A 27,067-nucleotide genomic window follows, 5' to 3' on the forward strand; every position below is an offset into this window, starting at 1 on the left:
GCTGACCTGCTGTTCCTGCAGGTGTCTAATATTGATGAGCCGCCAGGTAGGTCTCCCCACTGTGGGTACAAAACCTCACTTCCCCCCAGATCTGAGAGATGGCCTCAGGGTCACACACATCACCCTGAATAGAAGCCCTCATCAGGGGCCCCAAATGCAGCTCAGGCAACCTTCAGGAAGCTCCCCAGCTAGCTCCCAAATCATGCTCTTTCTCTTCCCGATAACAGACAGAAGGCTGCTGGCATGGTAAACTGACAAAGGGAGAGAAGCAGTGGCACAGATGCATACCCCCAGTCCCACCCCCAAGGCAGGCTGTTTTGCCCCTGAAGTTGAACCATCCAAGCCTCTACTTTCTGTGCAGTAAGTCTCAAGGTAGGAGGAAGTGAAGACCACAAGCTTCGATTTGCTGTGACATCCAAGGAACTGCCAGTACCTCACTGCTGAGAGCCCAAGCCAGAGCTTCCAGCCAGCCTCATGCAAAAACACACTTGAGCTTCCTCTGCCCCATTGGCAGCACCGAGGTCTTCCTCAATGCATAGAAAAGGGACGAGTGAGGAACTCACACCCTGTCCATTCTTGACTCACACCAGATTCTAACAGTATAGGAAGCCAACTTTTTGAGATTTCAAAAGAATTGCCAAGGAGGATGGAGCCTGCTCAGTAACTACCAAACTGTTCAGCTCTCAAGAGACCACTGTTTTTATTTTTCAGAATATTAAAACCTAGACCGCACACTCAGGAAATGTATATTGCTTATCACAGACTAATTTTAGGGAGATATGAGATGGGTTCTTTGTATAAATCAGACTCGTGTGCTGCTAGAGCTGTCAGGGCAGGGGAGCCAGGCAGCAGCACTTGAGTCCCCCTGCCCTTGTCTCTGACAGAGGCTCCCGCGTCTAGAGCTTCAGCCACGTATCTCTGAGCAGACTTAGCACCTTTTCAAGGGGACCCCCGCTGAGAAGCAGTTTCTGCAAAGTGCTCCACACGTCATTACAGACCTACACTTGGTCAGGAAGATTCTGTGTCTTTGAGTGGGGACTTTCAATACCCTCGTCAGCAGAGTGTGACAGTGCCAGGACACACACCCGGGTCTCCTGGCCACCATTTACCAAGGATGTACCACAGGCCAGCTACAGCTCCCCAGCCAAGCTTTCCTTCAAACATCTCCCCAGCCCTCTCAGGTTGGTGCTATTGGGATCATCTCTCTCACTTAGGAAGGACCGGAGCTCAAGGGAGTTCAACAAATAGCAGGGAAATAGAGGCACACAGCCTTCCATGCAGCAAACTGATGGTGAGGCTCTGCTGCCTGCCAGGATACTCAGCAGCTCCTTCAAACATCTGACCCCCTGAGGTCTTCCAGGCTCTCTCACTTTTGGTTACAGAGAGTGTCCTGAGCAGCACAAAGTCAGACATAGCCGGGTCCACGCACATTTGTGTCTTTCCACAGGGTCAGACTTTTACTGATGCTATTTCAATCACAAAAGCCACAAGTTACATGGAGTTCCCAAGGAAGTGATTCTCCTTAGTACGTCCTGTTCAACTGGTAGTCAGAGCTGTGAGCACTCAGGCTCAAGCCACTCTGCAAGTCAGTCAATATTGCAAACCATACACAGCAGTGTCCTTAACTTAATCAATATATAAATGCTATATTAAACATTCCACATGGAACAGTAACATTTAACATCGAGAGAAAGGGGATAACAGAGCATAAGTGTGGCTTTGAAAAAAAAAAGAGTGAGAAGGGGATAGAAGAAAGGGTTAATGAGCCAATCCAATGAGAGCAACGTGGATGAGAGTGTCCTGGCCTGTTCCGGACAGACATCAAGAGTCTTTGATGTGGGCAGAGTCTTTGGCAGCAGATGCCGGGTGCTGATCACGAGCAACAACAGAGCAAGGCTCTGTTAAGATGACCATCTCAAGCTGGTGAAATCCTGCTCTTCTTATAGCCCTGAGACCTCTGGCAAGGACTGATAGTAGAAGAGGGCTGGTGATGTCCCTGTCTGGTTGGGTGTGGTCTTTATTGATTAGGTGGCCATCTGTTCCCTGTTGGCATGATGCCTTTTGACATGTAAGATGGAGTCTTTTTCTAAGATGGTGTCACTTATGTCAAGAGTGCTCTATATAGGGAAGAACCTATGACAGCTCCCTTAGTTTATAATAAAGGCGGAAATTGTCAAGGGGCAGCAACCCAAGGGTTGGCCCTTGGTAGATTGTTTCCTAGTCTAGTGATACCATACACTACAGCTTGACCCTTTCACTATCTGTAAAATACAACCCATTTTTCAGAGAACCAAACCTCAAAAACATTTTAGCCACTTTATAGTCTGATGGACATGGTAAAAGGCCAAGATGACAGGTAACCTTGCTGTGCAGTTACTGAGAAATGCAAAAGGCCTTCTGAGAGGCTGGTGTGGATTTTAAGTCTGTGGTAGGACACACAAAGGGACATTAGGAAAAAAGTGGAGACAACTTGCAGACTCCAGTAGACACGGTTTTTAGGCATTTCAAGCACCCTGGCTCTAGGCTGCGGTTCTCAATGGGAGTCTCAGCACTGGCAGCATCTCATTACCTGAGAGTTGTTAGAAATGCAAATTCTCCGGCCTCACCTCACATATTCTAAGAAGGAAACCCTGGGGCTGGGGCCTAGGAATGTGTGTTTCACAGTGCCCAGGTGATTCAGATACACACAACCACCAGTGGCAAGTGATATCTGCTCCTAGTGACACTCTTGTATGCAGGGCCATGGGTGACTGCAGGTTGGCTATGCGGCTGGCTACTGATGTTCACACTTAGTCAACTGTACCCAAGCTACTTGCCGGACGCTCTCTCCTGAGATCCCGACTGGGGGCGGAAAGAGCAAGCAGCTCAGAAGCCATCCAGAATTTTCAACTCATTTTTGGGGTGACCTGGGGAGAAATGTTGGCATGCTTCATCCCTTAATCTTCTTTTCCAGATGTTGCTCATCTGCACAGCGTGGGACTGAGCACTGTGGGATATTCAATCTGCACCAGTGTTCTCTCCCTAAACATCAAATGTCTCTTCTAGCCATGCTCCACCCCTGCTCCTATCCCCCTTGCCTTCCATCCTTCAGCTCATTTTGCCTGCACAGAACACGACAACCATGAATTCTGCTGCATCTCTCTCAAATAGGAGAACAGAAGTGTTTTCACCAGCTCAACCCTCCTCACTGCAACCCTGTGCAAAACACCACATCCCCCACTCCCACTTTCAGGCTCTGCTCACACCGACCTCTGTGCCCAGGTAGAGAGCACCAGCAAAAGGCTCACAACAACACAGGTAGGAGGCACTAGACAACCAGGCCTCCCAAAAAAGTTGAAAAAAAAAAATTGTTTGTTTATCATTTTAAAAAAACTAACCTCATACAGGAAGTATGAGAAGCAGAAGAAGAAGAAGAAAAAAACCCAGGCTAAAATACTGGAAATGTCCACATTTGTTACAGATAAAATATGTGTTTCTCAGTTTCCATATTCAACTTTGCAGGGACGGTGGGAACAGGTAGGGTAGGGCACTGCGGGGGGGTGGGGACTTAGGATGGATGGGGATCAAATAAAAAAGGTGACTGTGAGTACATGAGGCACAGGCTTGCCAGATGTGGGGCAGGACCACGACCCCAATCAGGGCCCTCTCTGCAGGTGTGGCTGTCCCACCCAGACTTGGAGAAGGGGATGCCTAAAACAGAAACTGTTATCCGAGATCCTCCTACTCACCTGCCTCTCTGGCCCCAGGTCCTGCCCTCGTGTGTGTTTCAGGTGAAGAAGCCAGAGTTACAAAATCATGATCACCTCCCTCCAATAGCCCTTCCAGACCTGCAGCCCCAGCAGCAGTCAGCTATGGAGACACCGCCACCCAGGCCTTCCTTGGAAGCCTGAGGCCGTGCAGACCTTCAGGACAGCAAGCCCAAACGGGCGGACTTGCTTTGGTGTGATGGACACAGACACGAGGCCACTGGAGGCAGACAGGAGTCAGATCTGATGCCTGACATGGAGCCAGGTGCCCTCGGGGAAATGTGGCTCAACTGGATTTTTTTAAATGGGGCTGGAGGACTCACAACCTCCACATGAGGATTAGAGTGGAGAAAAACAGTGAGAATAAAGAGTATGTCCTCTTTCATAGAACCAATCAGTAGGAGAGAAGGAAATAGGAATTCTCCCTTCTCATAATAAAAAAATAAATGCAAACACTGTATAACGTGCACACATTAAAAAGATATCAACTGAAGGATTTTAAGTCATTGCGATTGGTGTCAAAGAAAGCAATTGGTATGAGAGAATGAACGAACGAAAGAAAGAGAGAAAAAAAGAGAAAAACTGTACACCAAAATCTCAAAATAGAACCAAAACCTGCAAATCATACTCAGGAGTCTATTGTGAACCCATATTTCAGCATGCTGTTGAAAAGGTTAATAATTTTCCTACCGAAACTGAATGTGGGTTGTGAAAGAACATTAAAATGAAGAAAATTTCCCCGTGGCTGCTATTATATTATCACCAAAGCCATCAAGTTTCAGTTTGAGTTATTTGTATTTATTTGTGAAAACAAAGATTAGATAAGTAGAAACATAAACCTCATCCTAATTATTGTCCTGGAGGATCTGATTTTTAAGACCAAAAAAATAAGACCATCACACACACAGAGGCAACACAAGGTATGAGAAGTTACAACAGCAGAGGCAAGGGAGAGGAGGCTGTTATCTCGTTCTATCATTTGAAAAAAATGTATTGTCTCATGTAAAACATTAATAGTTGCTTACAGTCTGCGAAGATAATATGAGAGTCAATATGTACTTTTAGCTGTTGACATTTTTGTCAACTATATACCCAGGTGGAGAACTTTTCTTTTAAACTGCAAACTAGAATTTTTGTTTTACACTTGCAAAAGTGTAGTAAAAGCCATACAATTCAATGTTGAACATTGGGGTGGTGGGGGAAATGGAATTTAAATGCTGCTTTAAACGATCAAAACAAGAGCTTTGGGACATTTACAACCAAGTGGGGTCTAGAGAAAACACAATGTTTAGGTGCAGAGCTGGCTCTTATTTCAAATTTGTCTCAGATGCCCAGGGGGCAGCTTGTTTTCTGAAGTTTTAAAAGAAATCCAAAGATGAAATAGTTAATCAGAAACAATGGGTAAGCAGAGACTTCATGTATTTCCATCACAACATAAGCATCAGAATGAAAAAAAAAAAAAAAACATGCAAAAAAGAGCTTCAGTGGTCTCACATCACCGAACAAACTGTTTTTCTACCTATTTTGTGTTGCTGGCTTTTGTTATCAGCCCAATCGGCAAATTGTGGCCAATTTTGTCATGGTTTGAGCAGACATTTTGTTCCCAAACTGCTTTCAACATTTTAGCTACCAAATACAGTTTATGAGAAAATGAACAAGCCACAATACAAACAGAAAAGGTACCTTTTCTTACCAAATTAACCCCCTTTAAGCTTAAAATGCAAAAGTTTTTTTTTAATGCAAAAAAAAAGGAATTCTAGTAAATTCAAATTCTGAAACAACCTCATCAGTTTTTTCCTGGAAAAAGGATAATTAATGATTAACCTACTGATGGATTTTGAAACCAACTACACGACATTCCCTGATTCCGACCACCATGACACCATGAAACTAGTTTTTAATGACACAGTATGTAAATGCTATTTTGCAAAAACACACACCAAATATTGTTTGAAGATGCAGATCACGAGGCTCAAGGAGAACAGTAGAACTATGTTAAAGTAAAGTAATCGGTTAAGCAGTTATTTACTACTGAAAATAAGTGACACCCACGTAGTTCATGTTATATATTAATATTGAAACCAAATGACAGTCTAATACCGCAAATCATTTCATAAAAAAAAGAATGAAACTAGTTAAAATTAAAACACAGGGTTTTATTTTATAAAGCATTAAATATTCAGATCAAAACGGTAGAAAGCTGACTTGGCTTTTAAAATATTTGTTTTGCTGAATTTCAACAACAGATTGAAAATGAAAAAAAAAAAAGAATGAAAGATCTCTCCGTAAAAATTTAAGAATCACTACTGAGAAGAAAAGCAGAATTTCAGACAGAGGCTTGAAGAAAACTTCTGTTTGTAATCTTCCCTCATATTTGAAGACACAGCAATATGTACAACATTTTTAGCCTTTTAAAATACCAGCATGCCCACACACTGTCTCAGATTAAAACAAGGAGAAAATGACACATTCTGAAACCATTTTCTAAAGCTTCTTTTCCTGATAACAGTGAGGCGCTTACAATCAAATTAATGAGTTTCTAAAAAGCCCAAACAACTCTCCATAAAGAAACAGAATTGTTCATAACAGCATGCAGATATTTCTAGATTTTTCAGACAACACTTTGAGCATTAGTTCTTGCTACTTACTTTGGAAGATGTTTTTAAACATCTATATTAGAAAGAAATACTACTCAGTGCTTTGCTTTGTTAAATTGAGGAACACTCTGAAAAACACCAATAGAGTCAGCCCAGTATTTCCCTCATTTCAATTTAAAAATTAGTTAACTCTTCCCCACACTCCTTGCACACATATGTATTCTCACAATTTATTTATACTTGAAAATTCTTAAAGTAGTGAAGAAAGGAAACACCCACAGAAAATAAGTCATCATTTCTTCTGAAAGTGGATTTCTTCATAAAACATAAACCAGCAAATAAACAGTGAAAAGAACTAAAAGCAAATAACAAAACTCAGTAAGAACACTGAAAAATACATATTGACTGATAGAAAAGTTAGCACAGGACATTTTAAATCATTGAGAAGAATAGGGACATTTGTGGTCAGTTTAAAAGATTCTCAGTGAAAGGTTGGCATTGCTTCTGGGCAAGCTGAACTGATGAGAGCACCAAGGTAATAACATCTTCCATTCAAGATAATGTGTTATGTTGTTTAACACCGTATCTAAAACATGTGACTCAGAATTCTTACTTCACTTTTTTATATTTCAATTTTTTCAGTATTATAGGATTCTTCTGGTACTTTAAAGCAAGTAGCCTGATTTATATAAGACAACAGCATTTAAAAACAGACAAAACAGCCTTGAAAAAAAAAAACATGACGATTAAAGATGACAGTGGATAAGGAGACCGTGGTAATCACCTAATTTGTTACTTTCAGACATTTTCTGTATGAGAATTTTACTCTGCAATACCTGCCCCTATCTTCATGCAGCATAACTGAATGTTCACATTCAGAAAAAGCCTGACCTTAACTAGTACTTGCCACTCTTTTAAACCACATATCCTCTTCCCCCGATGTAAGACTTGGGAAATGAGGGTGATTTTAGTCATCTGGAAAGAGTGAAACAGGACATGGTCTTGAAGCACTTTCTTCAGAACCGTTGTCATTTTAACTTTGTTTTACCACAACAGAAAAGGCCGTGCCCACGGAACAAATTCAAGTTCACCCTCAATTGTATCTGTAACTCTGGAATTTCTTAAAAGCAGACTGGCACAGCACAAAAGCTTTCCTTAAATAGTCAAAGCATTAAGAAAAAAAATCCCACTTTTCTTTTGCAAGTATATGAATTAAAATGTGAACTCTTATATATTAAAAATGAATGTTTTTAGCACAATTACTTCACAGGCAACCAGCTAATTTTTTCTTCCTCTTTTTCACAATATGCATTTGTTAAAACACCAAGATTTTTTTTTAAACTCTGTTACATTTACAGGCATTCCTAAGTGTAAGCAAAATATACTTTTCCTCCCATTTACCATTTTATTTGAAGCCAATCTGTCATGTATAAAATGATGACAATTTTGTTAAAACAATCTGGCTTTAGAGGTTAGGGCTAGCTCAAATGTAGATTTAGAAAATTGAGCTTTTTCTCTTTTAAAAGCAATGAATAATTTACCAAAATCTAGAAATAACTGCAACTGGAGGGGGGAAAGTCAGACAAGAATGAAAGAAGCCAAGGAACTCAGAATTCTTGCCCCGGAAATGAGGGACTCTTGCACTTCATTTTCTGTTGTCCACTAAATAAATAAATAAATAAATAAATAAAAATTGATTTCTAGTTATAAAATTAAATGTGTAACAAGTTTAAGAAATTTACAATATGTTAGATACAAATATATATAAGTGAGCTTAGAAAGGTAAATTGCATTTCTTAGAGCATAAATCCAGCCCCCTGTGCTAATGCTATTGTGAGTTGACAAGACAGATACAGACACTGGATCTACACCACTGAAAACAGGATGATTTTGGTTGTAAACTTGGATTAGTGCGAAACCATTCTCTTCTGACAGGGTCTGTCGGCACAATTGAAAGGCATAGTCGACACCGGTGGACCATGGAGAGTGGAATGGATTTCTGATAGTCACCTAAAACCTTTCACTGATGTTGGCTTGAAAGCTGCTTAATTAGCTGTAGGCTGCCAACCAATCTCCTTATCAAAGCCAGCTGAAAACAAAACTGAGAGAAACAGCTTGTGGTTTCGCAAAAATGTATTTACATGAAGTATATTTTAAAGGGAGTTTGATCATTAGGTACGATGTCATCTGTGATGTGCGGTGGGTTTGACATTTAAAGATGTCACAGGTTGTCAGATTCATCTCCAGTCTATACTTAGTTGAGATGTAACAACTTCTGCTAGCAGATCTTGTTCTGTTGATTTCCAGCCTAGAAATCTGAAAAGATTTAACTCTTTTTTTTTTTTTTTTTTTTGAGACGGAGTCTCACTCTGTCACCCAGGCTGGAGTGCAATAGCGCGATCTCGGCTCACCGCAACCTCTGCCTCCCAGGTTCAAGCAATTCTCCTGTCTCAGCCTCCTGAGTAGCTGGGATTACAGGCATCCACCACCACGCCCGGCTAATTTTTGTATTTTTTAGTAGAGACGGGGTCTCACCACGTTGGCTAGGGTGGTCTCGCACTCCTGACCTCAGGTGATCCGCCCGCCTCGGCCTCCCAAAGTGCTGGGATTACAGGCTTGAGCCACCACCCCTGGCTGAAAAGATTTAACTGTTATTTACTTCATGCCAATCCTTCTCATGTCCTCTCACCTCCTTACCCATGATCTATTAAAAAGGAAGTGAAGTGGTGGGTGACACGTGGAACATAAGCCTATTTTTGTACCTAGTCCCAAGGATGGTGACAGAGGCAAAAATACCGCCGTGAACACAGGCCAGGCAGAGAGAGTTGCCGATAGGTGTGTGCTTCCTAAAATCAAGAAGGATCCACATCTTTCTAGCCCGTTATTTCACTGCGATTTGTATTGAAAAGAACATTCTGACAAGACGGGATTTCCTTCAGTTAACACCTAAAAATTGTCGAAACCAAGGAAAACCCAGAGTGAAAGCAAACGTTCTACCTCGTCGAAAGCTATCTTGATAGAAGTCATACCAAAGCAGCAGCAAAAGATCCCAGATAAATGTCGACCTTCAGGTATCCTCAACCAGGAACGTGGTTCGGTAGTTTTGTCAGTGTGTTTAGCCATCAAGATTTAATGCTTTATATTTTATCAAGAGATGGAGACATGAATCACTACCATTTAACTGTTACAAGAATGACGTCTGGTGAATGTTTAGTCATCCATTCACTCTTTTCCAAATGTCACTTTCTGTCTTGCCTAATTCGTTGGAAATGAAAATTAAGCTCTAAAAGAGAAATTAAGACAAACCAGAACAGACCCAAGTGAAATCAGCACTCTGTCACCGATAACACCCCTGAACCACAGAACCTCAGCAACAGGACCGCACAGATCTCTCAAACAGAAAGGGAAATGGTCAGTAAAATTACAGGAAAAAAAAGGTTCATTCAACTTCGAAACTTTGTTACTTATGACCCTTCTTCCACCTTAATTCATATGGCAGAGGTCAAGGGGTATTAGTCCCAGGATATGAATGCAGTGTGATGTGCAGTTAGCAACATAGTTTTTAAAGGGTAATAGAAAAAAAAGCTTTATAAAACTGCGCTACTCATCAATTATTTTCCATAGTTTGCTTTAAAAAGGCCTTCTTCCCAAACCCAATTATTCCATTGTTAATCATCTTGTTTGAAAAAGAACAGTGGCATGAAATCTGTCAATATAGGTTGCCATTCAAGCCCAGGAGAACCAGGCAAAAGGAAGTCCCCAACCAGGGTTCTGACAGCAGTTAGAAAAGGTAGAAGGCCAGGGGCTCAGGGAACAAGCAGGGGACAGTAATGACTGTGGCCTATCTCCTGTTCTGTATCTGTCTCCTTAGCAGGAAATAGCAACTTTGATTATTTTATAAATTCAAAGGCAACCAGACTTCATTTACTAGGAGCTCTCTTCTACTTGGCTGAGCTGTGGCCTTCATTTGAGGCGTTACCAAAAGCAGTGCATGAATACCAGGAAAGCTGGTCTGCAATGAGGAGTGGAATGAAGGGCTTCACTCTCCCCCAAAGCACCAGGGAGCTCTGCTTTTGGGTCCTCCATGCCGAGACAACCCATTCTGCCAGCTCCTTTGAACACTAGACTGAGGTTCTAGCCCAGTACACCGAAGTCCCAGGGACAGCTGATCAGCAAATTGGCATTATGGATCAGTTTCCAGGAGGACAAATAAAGAAAGAGTTACAGTAAAGCACAAAAGCGTGTCTGATGGAGCTAATCCAGAATGGGCAATGTTAGACTGCACAGTAAAATGTGAACTCCTCCATTTCAGCAAATCAAAGGGACTTCCCACATTGTCAAGGTCTCCTTCCCACCTGCCTCTGGCCCCAGGTGCAGACGAGAAGCCAGAGAGGCAATGTGGTGTGCCCCACATGCCCCTCCCTTCATCACTGGGTTTGTTGTTGATACTGTTCCCACTGCGTTTATTCGGTGACTCTGCCTGCAAAGCTTCCTTTCTGCTGCTGCCTGTTGCTAGGGAATGAACCTTAATCACTGCGAGAGAACAACAGCAACAGCAATCTTCACTTGGCACGAGCAAGCACAAATGTCTCAGTTTAGTGACAATGTAGAAATCATCCCTAAAAGCATCCTCATTTACATCTTCCCTCAGAAGGATGGCAACATTTGCCCTGTCATGAAATACATATTCTCTTCATCATAATGTCAGAGATGGTGCATTTGGAGTGGATCCTATTTCCATATTGAATTTCTGCCCTTTGTCATCAAGCTGGGTGTCCAGGGTGACTTCGGGCTCTTAGAATAGCTTGGCTGTGGATCTCACCTAGTTGTCAGCCTCTATTTAATTGTTTTTTTTTTCTTGGAGTAAAAAAGCAAACCGCATCGTCAAAGCATTTAAAAACACAAACCAAAGGAAACTGGGTTTCCAAGCTTTAAGCAGATGTTATTTACCCACAATTTATTTCCAAGAAGTAACTGAGAAACCATTGCCATTTTTCATCAGTATTCAATTAGAAGCATAAAATCGTCACTGTACCAATGATCTATAACATGGTTCTTGCTGGAGATAAGTGAAAAGCAACCTATGTCCTCAAACTCTAGCTCACCTCAATTCTGGGGTTGCGGCTTCCCCAACCCTTTTATGTGCTTTCATGGGGGTGGCCAGAGGCTGGCCACTGCTGGTTGCAGGGACTGGGAAGCTGGCAGAGATGAGCAAGCAGGGCCCTCTCCAGCAGCCACCACCCCAGCTAAAGAGAAGTCCAAGGGTTACTTTGTGGTTTGAGGGGCACCTCCTTTTCTCTGGCACTGGGAGGATGGACCCGGTCACTGAGCAACACACAGGCCTCATGCCTCAGGCTTCCCTTGGGTAGTGGAGTCCCACCTGTGGGGACTGGCTCTGCTGGGCTCCCAAGGAGGGGAGAGCAGGGCCAAGGTCTGTGCTTCTCACCTTCGCCCCTGCCCAGAATGGTGTTTGGTTCAGAGTTGACGCTGGGTGAGCATCTGCTGCAGTGGTGGGATGGATGGTGTGAACCGACCCCCTAGCTTGGGACTCAACCACAGTTCCGAGGTTGGCACAGATTGGTACAGGGAGATGGGCAATGCTGGAACTGCCAATCATTGAGGTATCTTGGCCTCTATATCTGTGGGTTCCACATTACTGGATTCAACCCACTATGGATTGAAATATTTAAAAATAATAAAACAATAAAAATAATGCCAATAAAAATATCATAACAAGTGTTTACATAGTATTTATGTTGCATTAGATATTATAAGTAATCTAGAGATTATTTAAAGTACACAAGAGGATCTGTGTAGGTTACAGGCAAATATTATGCCAGTTTGTATCAGAGACTTGAGCATCCTTGGAGTTTGATATCCATAGGAGATCCTAGAATCAATTCCCCATGGATACCAAGGGACAACTACACATTGTGTAAATTACCAAATTTGCTCAACCTTCTGAGGCAACTACTCTTAATATCCTCATTAGAGAGAAGGAAGTTAACAGAGGGGTGGTTAACCTGCTGCAGATAACAATAAGTCAAGAGTTAGAGAAGGATTGCAGATGTCCTTGCCTTTTTACCACACCTTCTCTGCCATTGGAGTCAGTGGCCACCACCTCACAGCTTATGGACACCCTTCCCCAGAGGCTGTAGGTCTGGCCCACATTCCTGCCTTCCTGATTGGAGTGTGACTTCTCCAGGACAGATGCCATGGCCAGCTCAGTTCACTCTGTCTCTCTGGCACCAAGCACCCTGCCTGGAGCACCGTGGACCTTGGCATATGTTTACGGGACTCTCTGTTTTTTAAGAAGTAGTTTGCCATCTCTTGCACACAAAGCTTTCTAAAGCAAAGAGGAACTGTCTTCAACATTGGGTGTCTGGATCTCTACTAAGAGCAAGAACTTCGTAGACCTAGAGCAGACTCACCACTGTCACCGTATTTATCCCAGGAGGTGCGCCTTTCCGGAATCACCTTGTGTATTAGTTTGTCAATGCATTCCTTCATTTATTCATACCACTGTCTGAGTGATTAGTACACACCAGGATGAAGCCTTTCACACTGATGTAGACACGAATAAAAATCTTTTCACAGTTGCCCTGTTAGCCATGTCAGCAGGATCTTGAGATAAAACAGAAAAGCAAAACTACACACGGTTGTTTATCCAATTTAATAACATTTATCTCAGAAGGTGAGAGTGTGTATAATCTTCACAATCAAGAGTAGAACATGTCTGGCACACCTAATCCAAGGTTCTGCTGAAAATTCTCATGGGCAGAGCAAGGAAAATGGGAAGGCACGCCTGCTGAAAGATGGATGGCCATTGGTAACTCAGAAAGAACCGCTTCTCTGTCACGTTGGGTCAGGTCTATGATGCAATCACCCTGTGCCAGAGGGAGCCTGCCTGTGTTGGGAGAAGCAGGGCTTTCATGCCAAGGAAAGAATCCAATAAGTCTCTCACAGAAAAAAAGTGTATTAGATTGATGGTTCCAATAGCATTATTATTATTTGTTATGATTTTTTAAAAGTATTACTATTTTTATTATTAACCACTTTGGGATTGCAAAGTGTCTCCCAGTTCACAGGAGCTTTTGTACACATGGTTTCACCTAAACTTCAAAACTGTCCGGAGAGGTAGGAGAGGCAGATTCATTCATTCATTGGTTGAGTTGCTATTTGACACACGCCCACCTGTTATCAGGGCCCTGGGCCCCTCCCCCATAGCATCGCTGCACTAGTGGAACCAGCCCAGAGAGAGCACAAGACTATGTGTGTCAGGAAAAGAAGGAAAGAAAAAAAGACACGCAGAGTTTTCTTTCCCTTTCCTGAGTCTAGCTTACTTTAGACTTACTTTCCCTGTTCCTCTAGCTCCCACCAGGCTAGGATGGGGCCATAGTGTCCCCAGGCTGCCCCCCAACCCCATGCCCACCCCCTCTCCTGAACTACTCGGCACTTCCTTTCCTTCCCGCCCCCACCGCTCTGCCCTGGAAAGACTGGGGAGGCCATCTGTGCCGTCTCTTCTCCCAGACCAGTGGTTAACAGAACTCCCAGAGGAGGCTCCTGTGTGTGTGCAACTCTAATAGCAGGATTTCAGGCCTCATTTGTGGCCAAGACAGTGCGGAGGTGACCTTTGGCGACAGGCCTATCTCATTAGCGTGTAGTCTACAAGATTCTCCCAGGGAGCTCTCGGATGGACTGTTTCTCCTCGCCTGAGATCTTCCCCTGCTTGGCCTGAAGTCCCACTTTGAGGGAGTGGGTGGCTGTGGTCATGGGGAAGGCTGGGGGGGTAGGCTACCTGCAGCAGCCCCTCTTGGACCCCCCAGGTCGTGGTAGCTTTCCATTCCTTTACACGCCACCAACAGGACGCCTATCGCCTACCTGGTGGGAGCAGAATCCTCTTGGAGTCACTCCACAATTAGAAAAATAAAAGTTGTACTTCTGTTATTTGCATCTTACCTTGGTTTTCTTTTCTTTCTGAAGACTAATATATTATGGGTGGTTTCATGGTTTAACTTCTTTTTTTTTTTTTTTTGAGACAAAGTCTCGCTCTGTTGCCCAAACCGGAGTGCAGTGGAGCGATCTCAGCTCACTGCAACCTCTGCCTCCCAGGTTCAAGCAATTCTCCTGCCTCAGCCTCCCGAGTAGCTGGGACTACAGGTGTGCGCCACCATGCCCAGCTAATTTTTTTGTTTTTAGTAGAGACGGGGTTTCACTACGTTGGCCAGGCTGGTCTTGAACCCCTGAGCTCATGATCCGCCCACCTTGGCCTCCCAAAGTGCTGGGATTACAGGCATGAGCCACCGTGCCCAGCCCTTCATATTGTTTTTTAAGAAAAAAATATAAAAATGCTGTCTTTGATCTTTTTTTAACAAGCAATTTTATGTATATTGGCAAAAAATAAAAAGGTAGAAAAAAGGCAACAGGAGAAATAAGAAGGAAAAGGAGGAGGAAAAAGAGGATGACAAGAGGAGAAATGGTTTGGGATGAGACAAAAAAGGAAGCGTAAAAGTTAACATAGAAACTGACCTCATTCAGAGAGACCCTAGAGGAAGACACAGCCTCCCTTTGGACTCAGATGCTTATTGCATAGAATATTTTAAAAGCAATTGGAGAAATTAAAGGGAAAAGGTGCTTTGGTCCCAGACTTTCACTATTCCATGGAGCACCATCCTTTAACTCTGGGAAAAGTTGCTCTTACCTTGTTATAATAGTTTCACTTTGGGCCCAGCACAGTGGTTCACGCCTATAATCCCAGCACTCTGGGAGGCCGAGACAGGCAGATCACCTGAGGTCAGGAGTTTGAGACCAGTCTGGCCAACATGGCAAAACCCTGTTTCTACCAAAAATACAAAAAAAAAAAATTATTCAGGTGTGGTGATGCGTACCTGTAGTCCTAGCTACTCGGGAGACTGAGGCACTAGAATTGTTTGAACCCGGGAGGCAGAAGTTGCAGTGAGCTGAGATCACACCACTGCACTCCAGCCCGGGTGACAGAGCGAGACTCTGTCTCAAAAAAACCCAAAAAGTATCCCTTTGTGTACCTAGCACGGTGGAGGACTGTTTTAAAAGCAGGTCAGAAGATGAAGCCAGTAAGACTTACTGCGGGACTGTAAGCACAAAACTGAAAACCCCTGCTATGGAAATAAATCTATGCCTCTGAAGAACAAATCCAAAGCGATGACTCAGGGAGGCAGCAGGGGGCATCCTTCCAGGCACTTTTAATAAACTCTAGTTTTAATGGAAAATATTTCAACAATGGTGATAATTCTGCAATTTATTTGCAAAGTCAAAAAATGTTGTTTTTTTTAAAAAAAAAAGATTCACCTATTATGATTTTCTCTGTAATTCTTAGCTGTGACTCCATAAACACTACCTCGCAGTAATAGAGAGGCTTTTGCCGGGACGCTGACTGCCAAGTTTGGGAAGCCATAGTCCTAAGGTGATAAAAAGCCCAACTTCAGGAACGTAAGTGTAGGGGAGCTTCCAGGCATCCAGCAGTCCCCAATTCAGGGCAGGTCTTGCTAGTGTCAAACTCAGCTTCCGGGACTCTCCTGGTGCTCAGAAGATGCTCTGTAAAAAAACTCCACCACCATTCCTCAGGCCAGCAGCCCCAGCCTGGACAAATGCACCATCCTTCATATTCCACCACTCTCAACACACACCCTGTTTGCCTCTTTCTTCTTTCTGTTCATTAGCTTTTTATTCTAACCTTCTTTGCAATGTCAATGAAACTGGCATGCAGCTTGTTTCTGATAAACCCATTTCACACTCGGATGGACACTTCCCTGTTTGGAAGTTTATTTCTAATATTACATTCCAGGACGTCCTCCCTTGGTTTCGCCCCATTACTCTGGTTACCCTTCTTTAGAGCATGTTAAATACTTCTTTTACCTCCTGGGTATCAGTAACCTTCACGTGTGTGAGAGTTATGGTCTTTTTCCTGCCCAAGCTCCATTCAAGCAACTCAACATTCTTAATTCTTGAGAGTTTTTTTTTTTTTTCCACGAAACTGTTCTTGGTGACTTTTCCTTCACTTCGGGTTCTCCTCTTTCCCTTCCTTCCATCTAGGTGTCCCCAGCTGAACGTGTGTGTTCAATTTTAGAAGGGGCCTGGGATCAGGAAAATGCTTATCAGCTTAGAGGCAATATACGTTAGCCTAAAACGCCCCACTGGTTGAATTACAAAAGTAGCCACAGCAGTAGCCTGGAATAAGCCTGACGTTGAATGTCGTATTTCAGGCTTCACGTTGGGATCGTATGCAATCTACAGTTATAAACCCATCAGAAGTATGGCCATCCATGCCACGCTTTTCTGAATGGTATTTATTTTACATGGGCAGTGGATGGGATTTGATAACCGTTCTCTCCAGCAAGATGATTTTAGAAAGCGAAAGGCGAACTGGCTTTTTTAGTTGTGGCACTGCCTCATTTGGAAAGAAAAAGTATGTCATGCTTTTGTTTCACAAATGCCATCACACGTTCAGGCATTTGTGGTTCCATGCTCAGGCGATATCTTCATTTTGCTGCCACTTCCACACACGATTATTAATGCTGAAAATGGGCACAAATGTGTTAAAATAAAATTTCACAGCGGTGTAGTGTTTGCTGTCAGGAAGTAGGTAAATGGTCTACAACTGGGACAAAAGTTTGTGTGGAATTAAATATAATTAGTGTTAATTCCACTGGGGTGGAAGTTTTAAAATATATCAAATATGCTCAAGAACTTTTTGTATGATAAGGGATACGTATTAGAGTCAAAAATAAAGACAGCCCATAGAAAAGGTGTGGGAAATGATACTCCAAGGCCATAGAATGGCTACTGACATTTGTTTTGTGAGCCACCTACAAAAATCATGTAGATAATTCTCACATACATACTTCCCTTAGAAAAATGGTGCACTTACAAATAGTAGATGCAAATGAAATCTAAACTAAGGTTGCAAAAGCACAAGTAGACCCTCCCAAGCTCAAAGCTCTCATAAAGCCATGGCATCTACATGCTGTGAAAAGCCTCGTGCTGTCCTTTTGAGCAGCCAGTGTTGCTGCAAACTGCCGGGGACCCACTTAGTTTCAAACATGATTTTTTCCCTGAAATAACGGCCTCCCATCTAATGGCACGCTGAGGTCACGGGGCACGGTGGAACCAGTCTGTGATCTGGGAGCCTGCCCCCAGAGACACACCAGTGGAACTCGTGAACCGTCTAGATTAAAAGATTAAAACGTCCTTACTGCAGGTCTTTATCATGAAGCCCATCTAATCAGTGGCACGTTTACTCAGAATAAAGAATGGCCCCTCTAAGGGAGGGGGGAAGGCAGCAAAGGGTCAGCAAGGAGCCCTGTGTGGGGGTCCTGCCGTCTGGGTTCCAGTCATTAAGAAAGCATATATTCTTTGAGCCTCCACTCCTGAATCTGTAAAACGAGAGCTCTGGACTCCAGGGTGGCTCTTGAGATTGTGTTTCTCCCTATAATTTCTATAATTTTTTGCAAATCACAACTACCTTCTCACTTTATTATGCATAATGATTTAAATGCCCTGTTTCCATGAATGTGTATTCTTTTATTGTGCTAAAATAGGCATAGCATAAAATTTACTATTTTAACCATTTTTTAAGTGTACTCTTCAGTGGTATTAAGTACACTCACTGTGCTGTAGCTATCACCACCATCCATCTCCAGAGCTTTTTCATCTTCCCAGACAGAAACTCTGTCCCCATTAAACAATAACTCCTCATTCCCCCCCCTTGCCTCCAGCCACTAGTAACCACTGCTCTAATTTCTTTCTCTATGAATCTAACCCTTCCAGTTATCTCATGTAAGTGGAATCCATACAATTTTTTTTATATTTACAAACATCCTCAGCATGACAAGGATTGAACAAGATTATAGTTTTATTTTGTTTGTAATATGCTGTCCCTTTTCTGTCCTGTCCTGATACATGTAAATGGCACTAAAACAGAGTGGCCCTCTCCAGGGCCGCTGGCATGATCAATGCTTTCACAGATTTAAAAAATGGAAGCTGAGCCCCAAAATCTAATTACATAGAAAGCATTTGCGCAGGGATTGCATCCAGTGAGAAGCATCAGGGACATACTATTTTGGTACACTCAAAGACACACTTTTAAAATCAATATTTTAAAAGTCATATCAGAAGTAAGATAAACCAGGCTGCTATCTCAACCCTCCGTGTGTACTCTGTACATGATGTCTCTCTCACCGCTGAGAAAAGCTATGCGTAACAACAGGAAACTGATCACAGATCCCAACATCAGCCCCGGTGACTGTAAGTAGAAAATACAATGAGTAATTCCCCTGAAAATGAGATGACTGAAGTTGATTATGTATTTGCTGTTTAAAAATAAAAAAGAGTCAACAAGAATGGGAGTGGGGTGGGGAGTTTTCCACGTTAACAGAAATGGCAAGTTTTATTTTTAAAATTTATCTGTAAATACAAAACAAGTGATAAAGACACCATGTGTCATTTGTTTTTGTACAGCAAGGAACTACATGCAGCTTGCTAATTTTCTCAATTTGTATGCTACAAGGTGAACTGCAGCATCACAAAAATTAATTTCCTAGCCAAGCAAATATGAAATATGAATTTCATAGGTAGGCTTTTATAAAATATTAAGTTATGGGCAAGCCAATATAAAATATTGATGTCATACAGTATGAGCAAATATGGAGATAAAAATCGCTGACCCAGATTATGAATTGTTGATTAAAGAGCATTGTTTACCAGTTTGTAAGTATATCAGCAAAATGTATGTGTGGGCATATGACAGTTCTAATTTGAAATATAATTCTAAATCATATTTACCTTTGATCTGAAAATACCTGATAGTGTGAAAAAACTAAGGCTTGACAGCCAAAACAGTACAAAAGTCAAATGCTGCATTTTAATTCAGAAGTGGGCAAATGTCAACTTGTTTTAATTTCTGAAACCTCTCCTTTTGGGGTTATTGTTACACATTTGATATTGAAAAGAAATTGAGGTTAATCAACCAATATTATTTCTCTTTTTTAGAAGCCTCAGAAAGTTTGCATATATACATATATGTGCTATAAGAATATACAAGTGTATATAAAAACATAAAATATTACAATAAAGAAGAAAATTCATTACAGACTTCCTAGGGAAAAGGGAAAAAATCATGTAGAAAAGCAAATCTTGATTTGGCATAATTAATTGTAGGGTTTCTTAATTGTGTGGAGGGAAAGGTTGGAGGAGTAAATATGTATCTGTATTTACAGAAGAGAATGGATCTTTCAAGCCAACAACCCAACAGTAAAGTTCTAAAATTACACCACCCAAGTCCTCTACTGTTTCCTTCTTTTGGACAAAAGCAAATATTGACCAGGTGCCAGCCTCGAGCCATTTGAGGCAAAGGCAGCCGTTGCGATGGGCAAAGCCACAGCCTGGCCACACCGGGCCAGGCTCCACGTCCAAACCCGCTTGCATCGTAGAATTTTGAAATTAACAAGTCACCAGACCACACACCAAGCAAGGAGTAATCACTTCACAGAGAGAAAATAACTATGTTTAAAATGAAAGCAAGATCAACACTGGCCTAAATGCTGGTAAAATGACCTTGAGGGATGTTCCAAATTGAAACGGATCAAATTAGTTTTCAATCCACTCTAAAATATGAAATGTCAAAAATAAAAATATGCTGATGAGGCTCAGCGCGCTGAAGTTTTAAAATGACTAAAACGACATCTGTCATGGAAATCCCTGCAATTTTACAAGAGAATAAGAAAGGCTATTTTAAACGGTGCTTAGTCACGTTGCATTTTTTTGGTAGTAATGTCCAAACTTTCCTGTCCCGGTGGCAGAACCCATGAGCATGACCTCCACAGGACTCTGGGGGAATGGGGGTGGGCAAGTTCCAAAAATACCACTCACAGCTCACAAATGACGGCTGGTCAACTCACATTTGACTGTGAAAGCCACAGTGCAGGAGCGAGGACGGACTAAAATGTCTACAGGAGAAGGTAGGGTGTTGTGTTCTAGAAACCCTGGCAGCTGTGGGTGAGCACAGAATTTTCTAATGAGTAAGACTGAAATCAGTGAAAATGCCTCAGCATTAAAGGGAAAAATAACTTATCTGCTGTCTAACCACGGAGCTCAGGCATCTAAGAAAAGCCTAAATAATTCACGAAAACTGTGCCCAAATAGACAAAAGGAGCTCACTGCTTCTTGCAGAATATTTAAACCTGACTCAACTTTGGGGTTTTAATCCAAATATCTTAAGTTCACATTTCATTGCTGGAACATTCCATGTTGTATCAGGAGCTGACTTAGGTGGGTGAAGTTCTTAACCCTGAACAGAGAATAAAATGTTAAAAATAGTAATGAGAGTGCCGATACCTCCATAGACAACCCTAAAATGTGTAATGTGTTCATGAAACACACTGCTCACCGTCTAAAGGAAAGGTGGTTAATCCTGGGCAATTCAGGTTTCTTTGCAGCTACGCCATGGAAGGTCCCTTAAATGCAAGACTCAGCATGGAAACCTCTTTCACTCTGGAATCCTTCTCCAGAACTTGGGTGAAGGTTCACACACTTACATCTACCCCCATGCTTCCCCAAAAGGGCTAAACCCAGAAAAGCCTTTCCCGGATGTCTAATTGGTGACAGCCTATTATGCCCAAGGGGTTTACTTTTCTCCAGGTGCAGAATAACAGAGGAGAGATTTGTTTACTCTCTCCCTTTTTTTTTTTTTTTTTTTTTTTGACATTAACAACTTTGTTTAATGGCCTGGGAGCTTGAGCCGGTCAGATCCCTAGAGCAGGGTCCACACACTCAGCCCTGGACTTTCTCCCACCTATTCCAACCCAGCCTCACACTCCCATAACTGCATTCCTAGCCTTTTCTTCCCGTTTTTAACACTGTGCTTCACCTAGTAATCAACATAAAAACAAAGCAGATAGAAGGACAGGCCTAGGTCAGGCAACCATCTGGGGTAATGCAGGTGTCACAGCCACAGGCCAGGCTTGACTGGCACAGGTCTGGGGAGCCTGGGGGCAGCCTGGGTGGGTGTGAATTAACAGCCTGGAGGTGGTGGGAGGGGGCATTCTGTGTGCCTCTGGGGAGGGGCGGAGGTGAGGTGTTCTCTTTGTCAGGGACCCTTGGATCTGCTGGGGACAGAGCCTGCCCAACTCCCTCCTAAGCAACTTCTGTTTCCTCTGCTCTCCCTTCCTGCAACCTGCACTCCTGCTTCCTGCCTGGCACTACCAACTGTGGGAAACCCAAGTAGGTGGCACCATAGTGGGGGGCAAAAGGCAAAGCCTTGGTTGGGTAGGGGGCATAACTCCAGGCCTAGTTCTGCAAGCCCTGACACTGAGGCAGGATGCTTACAGAGGAGACAAAAAAGCAATGCAGTGCCTCGAATAACAACTGGGGTGCCCCCACACTGCCACTGACAACTGCCCCTCAATAACTAGTACACCCTAGTCTTTCTAGCTTCTGGGCACTCCTAGAAACCAGAGCTTCCAAACCCTTCAGTTCACACAGGCCAGGACTTGCTGAGGGCAGGGGGCGGGGGAGGAGGTGAGGGTTGCTTTCAGGAGTATCTGTTCTTGCTCCCATAATCTTGGAGTGGATCACAAAACTGAGTAAGTGTTGCTATGGTTATTAAAGTCATTCCTTTTAAAAAAGAGCAAAACATGGCAGATTTTCTTAACAACTTGTTCAAATGGCAACAGTCCCGGGTTGTAGCTAATTAAGTGTGCTAAAGATAAACACAAGATCGCACATTCCTATTAAGATTGTTTGCTCCTGGTTCTTTTACACACACACACACACCACTTTGAACATTCAGGGGAAATAATAAATTCTTATGCATTCAGCATGAGGAGTAAAGAAGAAAAATATATTTTCCATAGAAATCGCCTTACTTCACCTCCTTTAAATTCTACAACTTGGTTCAGGACAAATAAAGAGGAAACTACTGGAATGTGTGAGCAGGCCCCACTAGCTCTGAAGGCAGAGGCCTCAGCAGGAGGTGAGCAGCTGCAGAGAGGCTCAGGCAGGCGGCCCTGGGCAGCCTCATTTCTTTATTAACACCACCACCTACAGGGACTGCTTTGAATAGGATGGTGTGGTGTGGCCCATAAAGCCTTGCAAGAAAAACAACATTCAGAACAATTGCACCACATTTTTTTTTCAACTTCCTGTTTATTAGTATTTTATCTAAGAGCAGAACAAAAGTCTGTATAAATGGGAGAAAATAAAACAAATGAATGCACTGTTAAGGCCTATTCACAATGCACACATACAACAACTTGTCAAGTGCATTATGTCTTTCAATTGAACCCACCTCCGACCTTCAAATGTCTCTGATGACAGAGATCAAGAGGAAATAAATGGAATTTGTTATTTTATAAGAATTATATATAATTAATTTTTAAAAAAATAAGTAAATGGGCTTGTTTTCGGCACAACTGTATGACAGTATTCCTTGCCACACTGTACAAGTCAACATCTTATCAGTAAGAATTGGTATTTTGCTAGAAATACGCATGAATATAATGAAAATGCAAATGTCCCCCTAATGTTTGGTGCAGAGCTTGATTGTGTAAGAAAAGGAAGAAAGTATGTGGTCAAGGTGTGGGCAACCTTTGAGGTTCTCAGCCTAAGAGGTGGACAAAGGGCTGGTGACGCCTCCACTGGAATCCTTCCAGCGAAGTCATGAGGTCATTACGAAATTGTTAGTGATGTCTGTGAACTCTGCTTTTCTTCCTTAACCTGCCTGCCATGTTGTTCTTTGGGCTTCTTCTCTGCCTACTTTTCGAAAGGCTCAGGGCCAATGAGATGGAATGAATGAGTGGCCATAGGGCTTCCAGTGTTGACCTTGATGGCCACATTTTCTCCTGAAAGCAGCCCGTACAGTCTGTTTTTGTGGATACTTGTGAATCAAAGGGCTGGGCCTTGGCACAGTTCCCTAGGACCCTTGCTCTTTTTTATCTATGGTTATAAATACCACTGAGTCTCATTTATTTTGAGTAGTTTTAATGTCATGTTTCCCTATTTGAGAAGGACACCTAGACATTTGGGATTATCAACTTGGGGAATTGCCTAAGATTTTTTTTCTATGCCCTAGTAATCAGGAATTTTGTTATTATTTACTCTCCATATCTCAGTCTCCTATGACACTAGCACGTATGGCCTTGTCTAATTATTCCTGATACCTATTACCTCGTTCACATGAAAATAAGAAGTCAGTAAGAAGAGGCCTCCTCTTGTTTAGCGTAACAAGAAACATATCTGCAGATAGAGACAGCATAAATCAAAGCTGAAATGTGAACTTAGCACTGGTCAAGACCAGTTAAGCTAATCAGAAACAGATTGCAAATGCTCTAGCAGAACAAATACTGTCTTTCTAAATGGCTGAAAGTGCTGTGAGGGACTAAAACTGAACAGAACAATCACAACAAACAACAAAGGTCACCAAATAATAAAGCAGCCATCATTTGTGTGCTGGTAGTAAACACTGAGAACTCACTGCATGTGTCTTGGACATGGGAGATGAAGAAATGTGGGGTTGGTTTTGTTTTGCCAAGGGGCATTGATTAACCCTAACCAGTAGTCAGATCTAGGAAGGGGACCCTTCCTGGAGAGAACGTCTCTATGGAATTCATTTTTTATTTTTTGGTAATTTTTTTAATTGACAAAAACTCTATTACATTTACTGTGTAACATGATGTTTGGAAATAAGCATTAAGGAATGGCTCAATTGAGCTAATTCACATATACTTATCTTTTATGGTGAAGACAATTAAAATTTACTCTCAATAATTTCAGAATACAATACATTGCTATTAACTAGAGTCACATGTTGTACAGTAGATCTCTTAAGTTTATTTCGCCTATCTATCTGAACTTTTGTATCCTTTGAACAATATCTCCCCATTACCCTACCCCTGCCAATGCCTGGTAACCACCATTCGACTCTCTACTTCTGTAAGTTCAACTTTTTTCTATATCACGTATAAGTGAGATCATGTGTTGTTTGTCTTTCTGTGCCTAATTTATTTCACTTAACATAATGTCCTCCAGGTTCATCCATGTTGTTGCAAATGTCAGGATTTCCTCATTTTAAAAGCTGAATAGTATTCCATTGTGTATATACGTGTGTGTGCTGCATTTCTTTATCCACTCATCCACTCATGGACACTTAGGCTGGTGCCCTGTGGCATTCTTGACTGGCAAACATAGAGGAAGCTTTAACCACTAACTTCTGCTAAGGGAGGAACTGTTCCTTGGGCATTAGAGTAGACAAAACATTTTATCAGCATCAGAAAGTATTTTGGGGCCGGGAGCAGTGGCTCACACCTGTAATCCCAGCACTTCGGGAGGCTGAGGCAGGTGGATCACGAGGTCAGGAGATCGAGACCATCCTGGCTAACACAGTGAAACCCCGTCTCTACTAAAAATACAAAAAAAAATTAGCCGGGTGTGGTGGCGGACGCCTGTAGTCCCAGCTACTTGGTAGGCTGAGGCAAGAGAATCGCTTGAACACGGGAGGCGGAGGTTGTGGTGAGCCGAGGTCGCACCACTGCATTCCAGCCAGGGCAACAAGAGCGAAACTCCGTCTCAAAAAAAAAAAAAAAAAAAAAGAAAAGAAAAGAAAAAGAAAGAAAGCAAGCATTTTTGAAGCCACTCACTGACTTCACTGATAGGATGCACAGAATAAGTCAGAAAGGCAAAGCTCCCGAGTCTGCTTCACAGAAAGGAAATGTGCATGCACGAAATAAGAAGTCTTTCTCAAACACAAACAAACAAAAAGCAACTCCCTGTGCTGATAAGGAAGGAGCTAGATGCTGGGAACCAGGAGCTGGGGCTGCTGGGAGGACGGGGGAACAGGCATGAGGGCAGGTGTCTGAATAGGAACTGTTCTGCCGCCATCTCACACAGGGGATGGAGTGATGGGCATGATGCCTAATTTGCAAGGGGTGATCTTGAAAGCCACTGAGATCCCTCTCCCAGGAAGCTTACAAAAGGAAGAGCGAGTGTGACAAATAAGTGAGAGGTGTCTACTTGCAAGTCAACAAATGCCTCCTTTGCACACCAATATGCTTAAATTTAGTGGGTCACCTATGTCACTGAGTAAAACCTAGTGGACATCCTAGTGCCCCATTAGCAAGCTTCATAACTCCACCCTCAGGACAGGAGTGGAGATAATGGCGGGTAAATTAATGAGTACATCACAGTCCTTTATCCACTGTGATTGGCTCATGTGTAGGCATGTGACCTCGGCTGGTCCAATCAGGGCGAACCTCATACCTTTTACAGGAATGCTGTGACAAAAGTTTTTCCTGCTGGATTTGGACCTGAAAGGACAAATGGCAGCCACCTCGAGATCATGAGGGTTGAGTTTATTTGAGAATGGGGTCAAAGCATTAAAAACTGGGCCAGGAGGAGAAGACAGATCTGAAATATCTCGACTCCATTTTGAGCTGTATGTATGACGCCCTTTTCCTAGATTGTTCACTTACATGAGATGGTAAAACTCTGGATTTTGCTTAAACCACTTTGAATTGAGTTTTCCGTCACTTGTAACCAAAAAACTCTTTTTTTTTTTTTTTTTTTTTTTTTCTGAGACGGGGTCTCGCTCTGTCACCCAGGCTGGAGTGCGGTGGCGCGATCTGGGCTCGCTGCAAGCTCCGCCTCCCGGGTTCACGCCATTCTCCTGCCTCAGCCTCCCGAGTAGCTGGGACTACAGGCCCCCAACACCACGCCTGGCTAATTTTTTGTATTTTTAGTAGAGACGGGGTTTCACCGTGTTAGCCAGGATGGTCTCGATCTCCTGACCTCATGATCCTCCCACCTCAGCCTCCCAAAGTGCTGGGATTACAAGCGTGAGCCACCACGCCCGGCCAACCAAACAACTCTTAATTAAATCAGAAATGCCTTTGCAATTATATACTACCCACCCCTAAAGAAGAAGGTTTTTACAAGTGTAGACGACTCCTCCTTCATATCGCCCTCAGTATTATGCAACAGTCCATCCCATTGAACTAAAGTCACAGAAACGTATATACCAAAAGATCCAATAAAATGGAGTGAAATGCAGCTCTCTTAGTGCATCTGCTCCTTAGCATTCTGAGAGATCCTACTCCCAGTGATACTACCCCAGGCTGTCAAGGCGGGTCCCTCAGATTGTCTTTTATAATTGCACAACAATTATAAGGAATATTAAAATGGAAGTTAAAGCATCCAGAAAGAAAACCAGATTAAATGACTGAAACAACAGAGGACTAAGTAATGACAAGAGATGGCATAATATCATCATTAGGCCTCCTTCCATTTTTAACGTTATTTCTCATTCAGCTTTTTTACAAGACACAAATTTCTTTAACTCAAGGAATTTATTTTGCTTCAGGCTCAGTGTTCTTTCCTGCAGAATCTGACCAACTAGGATAGAATAATGCTTGAAGAGCTCTGGATTTTTATATTATAACAAATAATTATGTATAGGTTTCTTGACATTACTGATTTCTCACTGAGGTTCAGAATAGCTCAGCATACATAATAAGGGGTTTTAAGAGGTGTTCACCCTGAGTACACTTAGAAATAACATCCAACTTGGATCAAAGTGTACTTTTTTAAAAAGTTCTTGATACTATAAGCTTTGATTTGCTTCACAGAAACACCTCTAACTATAAGGGCAACTGCTGAGGTTTGACAGTTCATCTGCCCTGATCTTTCATTCATTCATTC

At 42.6% G+C, this 27,067-nt stretch overlaps 1 long non-coding RNA gene across 8 annotated transcripts in view, besides 4 other annotated features; it reads right to left on the reverse strand.

The window, feature by feature from the left end:
• Positions 1-27,067, reverse strand: part of MIR4435-2HG (MIR4435-2 host gene) — a 299,296-nt gene that overhangs the window by 236,302 nt on the left and 35,927 nt on the right. The gene's annotated exons all lie outside the window — the stretch shown is intronic.
• Positions 3,280-3,844: an enhancer, noted in NCBI's record as "H3K4me1 hESC enhancer chr2:112193024-112193588 (GRCh37/hg19 assembly coordinates)". NCBI's record gives its function as "activates a minimal SCP1, AML or CMV promoter by ChIP-STARR-seq in naive H9 embryonic stem cells {active_cell/tissue: H9 hESC(naive)}" and the evidence as "EXISTENCE:reporter gene assay evidence [ECO:0000049][PMID:30033119]".
• Positions 3,845-4,409: an enhancer, noted in NCBI's record as "H3K4me1 hESC enhancer chr2:112193589-112194153 (GRCh37/hg19 assembly coordinates)". NCBI's record gives its function as "activates a minimal SCP1, AML or CMV promoter by ChIP-STARR-seq in naive H9 embryonic stem cells {active_cell/tissue: H9 hESC(naive)}" and the evidence as "EXISTENCE:reporter gene assay evidence [ECO:0000049][PMID:30033119]".
• Positions 20,711-21,445: an enhancer, noted in NCBI's record as "H3K27ac-H3K4me1 hESC enhancer chr2:112210455-112211189 (GRCh37/hg19 assembly coordinates)". NCBI's record gives its function as "activates a minimal SCP1, AML or CMV promoter by ChIP-STARR-seq in primed H9 embryonic stem cells {active_cell/tissue: H9 hESC(primed)}" and the evidence as "EXISTENCE:reporter gene assay evidence [ECO:0000049][PMID:30033119]".
• Positions 21,446-22,179: an enhancer, noted in NCBI's record as "H3K27ac-H3K4me1 hESC enhancer chr2:112211190-112211923 (GRCh37/hg19 assembly coordinates)". NCBI's record gives its function as "activates a minimal SCP1, AML or CMV promoter by ChIP-STARR-seq in primed H9 embryonic stem cells {active_cell/tissue: H9 hESC(primed)}" and the evidence as "EXISTENCE:reporter gene assay evidence [ECO:0000049][PMID:30033119]".

Source organism: Homo sapiens, chromosome 2, assembly GCF_000001405.40.
Source record: "Homo sapiens chromosome 2, GRCh38.p14 Primary Assembly".
Lineage (NCBI taxonomy): Eukaryota > Metazoa > Chordata > Mammalia > Primates > Hominidae > Homo > Homo sapiens.